Source organism: Homo sapiens, chromosome 5 (genome assembly GCF_000001405.40).
Source record: "Homo sapiens chromosome 5, GRCh38.p14 Primary Assembly".
Taxonomy (NCBI): domain Eukaryota; kingdom Metazoa; phylum Chordata; class Mammalia; order Primates; family Hominidae; genus Homo; species Homo sapiens.
Window position 1 is genome coordinate 133,426,910 of NC_000005.10, and position 12,055 is coordinate 133,438,964.

The 12,055-nt window shown below is 42.8% G+C and overlaps 1 protein-coding gene and 1 non-coding gene across 4 annotated transcripts in view; both read right to left on the minus strand.

The window, feature by feature from the left end:
* The window catches only part of FSTL4 (follistatin like 4), a 645,613-nt gene that overhangs the window by 230,455 nt on the left and 403,103 nt on the right, over nucleotides 1-12,055 (minus strand). The window lies entirely within an intron of this gene.
* Nucleotides 687-797, minus strand: MIR1289-2 (microRNA 1289-2). Its single transcript, NR_031621.1, has one exon. It is a non-coding gene; the product is annotated as a microRNA 1289-2 (primary transcript).

Here is a 12,055-nt window from a genome sequence, read left to right on the forward strand (position 1 = left end):
ACCTAAATCTCAGCATGTCTTATGTTCTCAGTGTTCCGTCTCTCAAATGCCCAACGGCCCAGAGGAATTTTGGTTTATCAAACCTTGAAATACCCCAACATTCCTCACAGTACTCTTCCATCCTATGAACTAGCTCACACTGCCCCCCAAGACTACCCCAGCAATGTCACCACTGGAGAACACACAGGCTCTGGAGTCAGGCAGCCCTGGGTTACAATCTCACTTCAGCTGTGTGACCTTGGACCAGCCACATAACCTCTCTGGGCCTCAGTTTCCACACCTATAGAGCATGGATAACAACTACTATCTTCCCCAAGGACGAGAGACGGCTCATGTGCAATGCCCAGCACAGTGTGGGCCACCAGAAGGTGCTCAGTAACTGGAAGGGTGCCTTGTTTTATCAGCTCCCACAGCTGAGCCCTGTTCTCAAGGAATGAACCCAGGGGCCTGAGAGGATGTAGCCCCTTTTGGCAGTAGAGATATAAGAGTCCACTTCCGAGGCTTGCCTTTCTCAATTTGCAGGGCTACTGCCTTCTCCAGACCTCCCAAGCCCAGGAAACTGTTGGTAAGTGAAAGGGTGAGTGAGTGTGTGTTGCGGGGGTGGGAGTTCTACACAACACAGGCGGCTCTCCTCATGAGTGCTTCCAGCAATTAGTGCACGCAATGGCGGGGGGAAGGGCGGGAATGGCGGGGGCGATAGGGGTAAAAATGCAGATTCCTGGACTCCACACCCAGTGACTCTGTTCAGTAGTTCTGAGGCAGGGTCTAGGAATGTGCCTTTTTAACTAGGACCGTGGCTGAGTTAGGTTACAAAGCTGTGGTCTTAGATCACATGTTGAGAAGCCCTACAGGGTTGCAACTTCTGCCATCAGGACAGACAAGGCTTTGGTTCCTTCTCAGAGGTTTCATCTGGCCATGTGGCTCCAGAGAAGTGTGAGGGTTTGGGTTTCTCTGGGGAGGTGCACACAGGACCTTTGCTGTCTATAGTTGCGCCTTCTGGAAACATTGGGCAGGCACAAGGGGTGAGAGGTGGAGCTGGGGAGGCAGCTATTTCAAGAACTCTTCTGGAGTCCCTAATGGGAGAAAAATCACACTCTATACCCAGATATCAACTTGTGTGAGTTGGGAGGTCACAAGTAATGTGTGAATAACAATACCTCAGGTGTGCTGAGTTGGAAATGAGTTGTTTTATGATAATGAATTTCAAGTGGATTTAAATTTATCCCTGTAATAATATCATTGCCATACACTTACACGATGAAAAACTGTGTGTGTATAAAAGGGATTGCAGCCAATGTGTGGAACTGGCAGGACTCTTGATCTATTTTACCTGGGTATGCCAGACAGATGATGTAATCTGTCATACGCATCATGGCAGAAGTAGGGCCTGCTGCACCATCTGGGCTGTGATCTCTGACTCTCTGGCTTGCCCTAGCTGCCCTAAGCTGGTGCCTTACTAAGCTCACCTTGCTGCCACCTCCAACTGGACCATGGGTAGGGGCTGCCCAGGGCCTTGCTTGACATGCTTGTGGAGGGTACCCTGTCCAGAGCCAACAGGACACGAACAACAGAAGGGTCAGGTCCATTCTGGGTTCCAGCTATCCACTGTGAGGCATCTGCTAAGGACATCCTGGGCATGAGACCTGTGTGAACTGGCACCTGTGCTGTTCTCAGCATGGCAGCAGCTGCAGAGACCGAGGCCCTGAGCACCAAGTGGTCACACAGCACAAGTGACTGCCCAGGTGCAGAGGTGCTGCATATAGGGGCTCCTGTCCTCACTCTCTGCAGAAGCAACCTCGACTCCAGATATTGAGGGCTCTCTCATCCTGGATGCTCCTTGCTCTATGGCCACTAAACTTAACATGACTCTTCCAAAGGGTTTTTCTGTTAATTGTCAATGCCAGCCCAGGGCTGGCATGTAGTGGGCATGCAATGCTTCATTGTTAAGAGTAAACTACGACACACAGAGGCACCATTTCCGTTATGGTGTGAAATGCAAATGTCATCATCCTAAGCAGCTTCCCCAAGTCTCAGCTGTAGTTTCCAGAAATAAGTGACTGCCTTCTTATTCACATGCAGGAACTTCAGTTATTTCTTCCTGGCCCTAGTAGTGGGATCCTAAGGATAGCATAAATCAGGGGAAGAAACCCAACACTAAAGTTTCCATAGAGCATTACCCTGTGAAAGCCTCTTCTCCGGAGGGCCCTAACCTGGGTCCCAGATGTGGTTAAACTGATTTGCCCCTCGTTGGCTCACATCAGCAGAAATCTGCTCGTAGGACGCCCACAGCCCATGGAATCATGAATGCCGAGGAGCTGCCCCCTTCATCTTTAATTCAAATGAGCCTGAGGATGACGATGGCAATGGCACTGATGTGGGCTGAGCTCTTACCACATGCCAAGTTCTGCTTAAAGTGCCCTCTGGAAATGATCATCTCCACAACAATCTCACAAGGGAGGTAGAAATAATACAACCTATTTCTATTTTCTTGGTGGGAACACAGGCTGAATGAGGATTCTACCCCAGGACTGCCTGGTACCAGGTCTATGCTCGTGACTCCCCCACCCCAGGGATGAAGGGAAGAAACCACATAAGCTGGAACAACAGCCAAGCCAAGAGAAGATATCAGGAATGGGGGCTGACTTTAAGCTCACTCTCCCTCCAGAACCTGCCTTCCTCAAAAGTAGGCCTGTCCTCTTGATTGTGAATCTCCAGGCTCCTAAAGACTTATCAGGTCATTTGGATTCCCTGTACTATGGGTTTCTGGACTCTTGGATGCACCGTACTATGGGTTGCTGGACTCCCTGGGTTGTCTACAAGAAGAACAGAGCACGGTAAGTTTAGGAATCCATTCCCCGTGAGGCATCCACCTTCAGCATGAGGCCACCATCCCTCAGTGACCTCCCAGAATCCATCAGCTCACTCCACCTCAAGATGTAACTCAATTAGAGGATAAAGTCCCTTCTCTCCTATTTCAGGTTAATTGGGTCTGTGCCAGAGTTCACATATTCTTGTTTTCGCATCTCTATTGATTAATGGGCAAATCATTGGTAATAGACACACACTGCATACTATGAGTATTTGAGACGTGAGCTGTAAATAAATGCTCATAATTAGTACTTGAGAAAGATTGGACAGCCATAAGATATACAAAGCACTTGGAAAATGTGAGGTGCAATTTTTCCTTGTCCAAGCAATTTTCAAACTCTAGATAGAAAGCTGCTTGGGTGTGGAATGTAAGTTGAAAGTGAGACTTTCACACTAGGGGCAAACTTTGCAACAGAGGAAACAATTGTAGAAAAACCAATTTAGTTAATTGTCTTTGTTTCACCTGCTGTTCATGTGTACCTGGAGCTTGCTGCTCCCCTGAAGCCTAGTCTTGCTCCAGTTTGAGTGGCCCTGTGGGGTAGGTCTTGCTGCTTCTGCATGGATTTCCACATGTCTCAGAGGTTAGGGTTAATGAAAAAGTGGTATTTGCAAAGGGTTTGAGGAGTGGCTCTAGGACAGTGATGTTTGTTGCCATGGAAATGAATACAGTCTCCAATTCATCACTATCATCTCAGCAGGACTTGGGAGAGGAATAGCCAAGCCAGAGACCTTACAAGTTTGGTCACAGATGCACCCATGAACTAGCAAGAGAAGTGGAGGAAAAACTGTTCAGGCATGCCTCGGCACCACCCGTGTCTTTTTAGCCAAATTAATACCAAAATCTTACTCCACAGAACAAAAGGGTAAAATATGACTTTCCAAAATAACAGATTGGCTTGCTCTTCCCTCCCTCTTTCCCTTCCTCAAATTCCTGATGTACCTTAGACACAAAACACTGGTGATATTCACTGACTGTTTTTTGAAGAATGCACCCATAACTGGATATTGAGATGCTTAGCTGGCTGTGCTTAACTCTAACTTGGCAAAACTATACAGGGGGGTCAGCAGAGTCTTCAGTAAAGGCCCCGCAGAGGAGGCTTAGAGGAAAAGGACACCTTATACAAACAAGAATTTCCCCTTCATTCCTGCAAAGTGGTGGTGAACAATAAAGTGTTCTATTAAACTTCCTGGTGGACAATAATTAAATGCAACCAGAATGGACTTTTGATGGAAAAAACAGCACATACATGTTGATAGGAAGAAAATAGGAGAGACCTAGAGGGGTGCATCATGAGGGAGAAATTTCTAAGTCAAAGTTTGCAAATATAGGGCCCCCAGGCCCCCATTCCCCCAGCAGACAGTGGTAAACATCTGGCACTTTCCCACTGAACCCAGGTGTGGCCTTCTTATTTACCTCTCACATCACTCCAGGCAGCCACTACCAAGAGAACTGTGTTACCACCTGTGGTAGATTAAAGATGGCAACACATTCTCTGATGCTCCTTCCTCTGAGACGTAGAGTACAATTTTTCTCCTCTCAAATTAGGTGTGGCCTTAGTAACTTGCTTGAACAATAGAATGGAACAGCCAAGACTTGACTTCTGAAGCTAAGAAGGCTTGCAGCTTCCACATGAATGTCTTGGAACACTCACTCTTAGACCCCTGAGCCACCATGTAGGAGATCTGACTACCCTGCAGGAGAGACCGGGAGGAGATACTCTGAGACTACAAGGGGTGGAGGAGTATAGCTAAGCCCAGCCTTCCAGCTGACCCTGTCAAGATGCTAGATGTGTGGGTAACACTGGATAAGGCCCTCAATTATAGCCCAGCCAGCAGCTGAATGCTACTGACACTACTGAGTAACCCCAGTCAATGCCACCTGAAGCAGAAAAATCACCCAGCTGAGCCCTGTCTTAATTCCTTATTCACACAATCATGAACTAAAATACAATGGTAGTTGTTTTAAGCTGCTAGGGTTTGGGGGTAATTTGTTACACATCAGTAAATAACCTGAATACCACACAAAACAAAACGCATTGGCCACCTGGGTCTAGGTAAAAATTGTATTCAGGGTCCAGAATGAATCCTTGGGGTTTTTTTCATTAATAATTACAATAGTGATACTAGCATTTATTAAGTGCAAGATACATTGGAACCATTTTATATAGAAGAACTCATTTATATGCAAAATCCAAGTACCCAAGGGTAGACACAAATCCCCATGAACTGAGCCAAACACTGATGGACCTACCTCAGTTGAGAGTTAAATAACAATTCAGTAAGACAGAGGGTGTAAGTATAAGTTGTCAATCACATCTGTTCTGTCATTGCACTTCACTATACCTCCATTCAAGCAGGGCAAGACTGGTTTCATTATCTTTAAAAAAAATAGATTAGAAAACAGAGGCTCAGAGAGGTTGTGATTTGTTGAAGTTCACACAGGTTAGTGAAGGAGGTAAATTTGGAATCCAGATGTGACAAGTCCAGGACCAATGGTCTTTTTGTATGTCACAATGCCTCTCTAAACATTAGCTAATGGAGAGAAATTCTCTTCATAATGACATTTCTGCCTCTCCCACAATATCTACCCAATGCCATGAACATCAGACAATAACCTGCAAAGGAAATAAACTTTCAAATAGACATGCACTGCACGAGAGATTTGTAGTACCTAATTTCTCAGGCTCCCTTCTGCCAAACCTACCTTGTGGGGGTGGTGTGAGAATTAAGAGTTCGAGCTGCTATGAGACTTGAGCCAGGTGAGGCACACAGTGAGTGCTCAGTAAATGGGGAAAATATTACTTCTCCTTTAACTTATTCAACAATTATTTATTGGGCATCTGCTATCTGCATGTGCTGTTCTAGGCACCAGGGATTTGGTGGTAAACCAAATAGGCAGAAATCTGCTCCTTACAAATCTTATATTCCAGTGTCAAGTGGAAACCTATGGAAGATAGGATGCTGGGTGGGTGGGTGGCTGGCGAGGCCCACTCACTTGGTAACTGACTGATTTTCACACAGCAGCATTGGATTACACTTGATTCAAATTTATCCACAGCAACATAACAAATCTCCATCTTTAGAGATCCTTGCAGTACACCCCAAGCCACAAGCACTAAATCTGGCAATTTTTCATATGCTTCTGTGCCTTGCTATGTGTGGCATGGCCCAGATCTTTTAAGCAGTACTAAGAAATGGCTTACAAAGAGAGTGCAGAAGGCTTCTTGGGTTCTTTCTCATTAAAAGGCATCTGGCTCCTCTATTCTCTCTGCCCCTGACTCCTCAGGCTGTCAAAGAAGGAAAGAGAAATTTCAGGAGTTGCAAGGCAAAGAAAATCTAAGCTGTTCTCTTTTTCAGTGAACTAAAAGCCAGAGCTGAAATCCTGCATGTTTAAAACTAGAGCTCATTGGAATTCACCAAAACCTGGACAAGTTCCCCAGAGACCTGCAAAAGCTTAATAGTCCTATTTGTTTTTGAAGTAAGGGATACTGTGCAAATCCATTCCACCTGCCTGTCCATATTAGTGTCATTTTCTGGTCTGGTGGGTTAGACGGGGGAAGGATTACCCACTAACTGGCAACGGGGTACCCACGCAAGGGTAGGGCACCCCTTCAAGCCTGGAGATTTTCCAAAGTATTTGATTTTTTTGAGCACTGTTAGTAAGTCAAGCTGTTTGGCATGATTTACCTTTTTCAGTTTCAATGAAATGTTTTTGGTTTGATTTCTATTTCATTCATGTGGCAAGCATTTATTGCCTACTAAGTGCCAGGCAGTGTTCTAAGTGAATATAGCAGCCTGCAATGGAATTTATATTCTCATGGGCAAAGCTTAGACAATACAGAAAGGAGTCAGTTAAGAAAAAAAATCAGATGGTCGTGAGTGCAGACAATTAAAATACATTGATTCGATAGGTAAAGTCAGGGTGGCAACTCTGGGTGATCAGGAGGCCTCTTGGAGGAGGTGGATTTAAGCTGAGACCTCAGGAGAAGTCAGCTCTGTAAAGAGCTGGGGGAAGCACGGCAGGCAGAGGGAAGAGCTGGTGTCAAGGCCAGTGCAGGTGTCTGGGCCAAGAGGGGAGGCTAGAAAGGCTGAAGCAAGGCGGGAAGGGAGCGTGGCAGGAGATGAGGTCAGATAGGGAGGCAGCAGTGGGATTCCAGGGGCCTCCGAGCCATGGCAAAGGGAAAAGCTTAGGATTTTTTTTCAAGGTGTGATGGGAAAGCCCTGGAGGGTTTTAAGCAGAAGGTAATACAATCTGATTTACATTGAAAACAGATTACTATGGCTATTGCATGGAGATTGGTCTGCAACGGGGCAAAAGGGGAGGGAGGGAGACCAATGGGAGGCTTCTAAGTTTCTAAAGATGAAAGATGATGGTGGCTTTGACTAGGGCATAGTAGTGGTGATGAGAGAAGCAGACGAGACTCAAGGTGCGCTTTGGAAGTAGAGTTGATAAGACTTGGTTTGATGGATTAGATGAGGAGCTGTGGGGGAATGTTATAAAATAAATGGAATGTTTTTCAGAGAGAATAACTCCACATTTTACTATATTTCACCTTAGTCTTTTCCAGTTACATAAATATACATATGTACTTTATAAAATTGGAATCTGGAAGTAGTTTTATATCATGCTTTTAAACTTAACATTCTTTTTGTGACTATTTCCACAAGTCATAATTTTTAATGACTGAATAATATCTCATCATATGGGGCACACCATATTTCCTTTAACCAGTCACTGCTTGACATTTGGGCTGCTTCCAAAACTTCTGCTTTGACAAACAAAGCTACAGTAAACATCCCTGAACATAAATCTTTAGGCAATCTCTGATTTTTTTCCTTGTGATAAATTGCCTGAAGTGGAATTACTGAATCAAAAGCATGTTTAAAAAGAGACTTAATAAATAAGTACTGCCAAATTACTGGCCACAGAGTTGGTGCCATTTTATATTTTCATTGGCTACATTTGAGAGTCCCCTTTCACTCTATCCTTGCTAAAACTGAATTTTATCATTAAAAATTGCTGATTTCATGGCCAAAAATATATTGTTAACTGTTTTAATTTGCCTTATTTTGATTATTAGGAAGGTTCAGAATCTAATATTTAATAATGATGTGTATTTGGTGGATGGATGTGAATGTCTGTGTGTGTGTGTGCCCTCTGTTCATGTTCTTCACAAACTTTTCTATGTGGATGGTCATCTTTTTTATTGATTACTAGGAGCTCTTTCTATAGTAAAGTCATTCATAACTCCAACTATTTTTCCCCAGTTTTTCATTTGCCTTATGATATACAGAAGCTTAAAGATTTTATGTCATCAAATATATCAACCATGTCTCTAATTGTATCTTCCTTTTTTATGTGGTTTAGGAAAGCCCCACTCACCTTAGTAAAAGTACAAAAATATCTGCTCATATTTATTTGAGGTCTTTTATGATTTTATGTGTTTTATTTAACTTTTTAAGCCACCATTTCCCAAGTGATTTCTGCAGAACATGAAACACCAGTCTCACAAAATACTCAAGTAATTCTGGGAATAGCATGTGCTATAGTTCCCTCTTGGGATTGTAGCATGCACAGTAGCACCAAAGATGGTTAAAAGTCCTGCAATAAAAATATCTGCTTAACTTTGCTTACCATGGTGTTTTGCAGATGTATTTGACTCCAGAATCCTTTTCTTGTTATGTTTATTAATGTCGTGTAAGAGCGTTTTGGGACAAGTGCTTTAGAAGAGCCACCATATCCAACTGCAATATGAAGTCATCCACCTTATTAAAACAAATACTTAATCATTTGGCCCAGTACCATTTGAAAATAACTGATGATCCTTTTTCTCACAGTTTTGAAATGCTGTGTTAGGTTAGCACTATGTTCTAAGGTTTGCTCCTGGCCTTTCTGTTCAGTTCTACTGGTATGTTAAACTCTCACACTACGATTGTGCTCCTATTTTTCCTTTTATTCCTAACAGTAATCACTGATATTGTGTTATTTGGTACATAAAGCTCCATGACCACAGCATCTTCTTCATGGATTTTATCACCATAAAATGGCATCCCTTTTTCTCATTTAGTGTTGTTGCCTTGAATTCTACTTCCCCTCTAAATTGCTACCCTTGCTTTCTGTTTTTGTTTTTGACAAACAGAACTTCGCCCACTCTTTTTCCTTTAATCTCCTTATGCCATTTGGCTTTAAGTGTGTGTCTTTTCATTCTCTCATGCATCAGAAATGTATTAATACTTCCCACATGCCAAGTGTTAGGCACTAGAGAATACAGTGGTAATCACAAAAAAATACAATGCTTACCCTCTTCTGAGGGTATTCTAAGTATAGTATTTATTCTAAGTATAGTATAAAAGACAGACATCAGCCAATAGTTTCATAAGTATATGTAAAATTACAATGGTGGCCTATGTTTTATGGTATATGGCATTATGAGCTAAGTGCTACAAAAGTTTACAATGGAAGGACAATTTAGTTTGGTGGAATTGGCTCAGGAAAGGCTTTCCTAAGGAGGGGACACTTGGGCTCAGCTCCAAAAGATGTGTTTGTTAACTAAACTGGGTAAGGGGGAGGCAGTGGGAGTGCTCCAGATGGAGGATGACCTGTGGCAGGAAGGAGTGTGTTGTCAGTTAGTGGGGTTAGGCATGGAGAACAAAGAGAACATGGTGTGAGTTGAGGCTAGAAAGGTTAATAGGGTCAGACCATGCAGGATCTTTTGGATCCTGCTGAGAATTTGAGCCTTTATTCTAGAAGCATTGAGAAGTTATTAAACAGTTTTAAGCAGAAGTTTTACAAGCAATGATATGCTGGAGACTACTATTTATAAGGGCAGATGATTCGTATCTCTTCCCGACTCTGTGTTCCATGACATCACTGGACTGGTCAACTGAAGTCATCCACGGTAGTAGTATTTACACTACGGAAATTGGCAAATGCTATAAATTAGGACTTTTCCCACCGAGAACCGGTTGTTAAACATTTATCAGCACACCACTGATTGACATAATCACCAATTGTGTTTTGAAAAGAAATCACTCTGGTATTTGGGTGGAAAACAGATTCCAGGGGAGCAAGAAAGAATGCAGGGAGACTGGTTAGGATGTGATTATGAGAGTCTTGTTGAGAAAAAACTGTATTTTGAATTAGAGTGGTGGTATTGGAGATAGAGAGAAGTGAATGGATTTGAGATGTGTGTAATATTTAGAGCCAAAAATATTAATGATGGATTGGATTGAGTTGCTACAGGAGAAAGAGGTGACAAAGATGGCTCAAAGATCTATGGCTTAGGAAGATGGATGAAGGGTGGTACCAATTACTGAGATAGAAGCACTGGTTGGAGAATGGTGCTTTTTTGGGTTGTTGTTTATTTGTTTTTCTGGCAGGAAGGTTAGTGATGGGGAAAGACCATGAGTTTAGATTTGGACATTCTGAGTTTTAGTTGCCGGTGAGGCACTCAAGTGCCTTTGTCAAGTAGGCAGTTGGACATATTGGCCTGGAAATCAGAGCAGAGGTCTAAGTAGGAGCCGTCAGTGACAGTCACCGCACTTGGGCACTATTTCAACCTTTGGGCATGGTTGAGGTAGCTTGAGAAGGTAATATGGAATCAGAACACAGGATTGCTCATTTAATCTCTAAGATTTGAGCTTGAAGAAAGAATATTTAGTAGCCAACATTTAATGCAAACTGTATATAGTATATAGTAAATAGGTGTTTTTTTTTTTTTTTTTTTTTTGAGATAGAGTCTCACCCTGTTGCCCAGGCTGGAGTGCAATGGTGCAATCTTGGCTCACTGCAACCTCCGCCTACTGGGCTCAAGTGATTCTCCTGCCTCAACCTCCCGAGCAGCTGGGATTACAGTTGCTCGCCACCACACCCGGTTAATTTTTTGTATTTTTAGTAGAGACGGGGTTTCGCCATATTGGCCAGGCTGGTCTTGAACTCCTGACCTCAGGTGATCCACTCACCTCAGCCTCCCAAAGTGCTGGGATTACAGGCATGAGCCACTGCACTTGGCCAGTAAATGGTTTTTTTTTTTAGTCAGTTTGGAGTCTTTGCATTGTCATTGAGAAGTTGTTCTCTTCACTTTCTTTTAAACATTTTTTCATTATTTATGTTATTGAGCTTTCTCCTTTTGTCCTTTTCCTTTTATTATTATTATTGTCTTCAGCTTTGTGGGCCAACTTTTCTTTCTTTGGTTGGAATTTATAGCTACTGAATTGTAACGTATTACTCTAATTATATATACTTAATTCTATAATTGACTTGTTTGGAATCTCATGGCTCATTCTTTTATGATACAATATTTTGATTCATTTATCAGTTAGGTGGAGCATGACTTGAAGTACTTCTTTTAAAAAATAAGAAAAAGCAGGAAGATGGTGTATATCTGAACTCTTGCATATCTGAGAATGCCTTTCTTTTGCCTTCGACATGAACAACATCTAGGCAGAGGACAAATTCTTGGATCATAATCTTTTGTCCTTGAAACATTCCAAATACTGCTCCATTATCTTCTGGCATTCAGTGCTTACAGGCAAGAAGTCATGAATTGATTTAATTTGTTCTTCCAGAATGCTAGTAGAGTTTTTTGGTGTGGGTATTTCAAAACCCTTTCCAGGATATATCCATGCAGCAGATGGTATTGGTTGGAAGGAGAATATATGATATTGGTGGTAGGAATTATATTAGGGGTTGTTAATAGAAAAGAATATATGAAGTCCCTGAATTTAGGGACACATGTACATGTCGTTAAGATGTAGAGAAATAGATACAGGGTGTGGAGGAAGGAGGTGGATCTGGTGGAAACTGCAGAACCTTTACATTCACATGATCACAAGTGTGGGACGAGTGAGGAACACAGTGGGAGTTTGACTAAGTAAAGATTTCAGTGAAGGCTGAAGTGCAAATTCATCATCCGGATTGCCCTGACAATGGGGCTCACACCTCATGGAAATGACATTATAATGAGGAAAACCCACATGCAAGATATAAATTTGATTTTGAGGATGAGCAGAACTGATCTAGTTAGCTCTGCCTTTGGGGAAGGTCTGAGGAGGAGTTAGGGAGGTATCTGGCTGCAGGCTAAGAATGGGGTTATGTGAGAAACAACTTGCATTATATAAAAAAGGGCTGGGATGAGCGCGGATGCTCAAGATCTTCTGGAACCTCACGCGCCTTTGATTCCTCCTG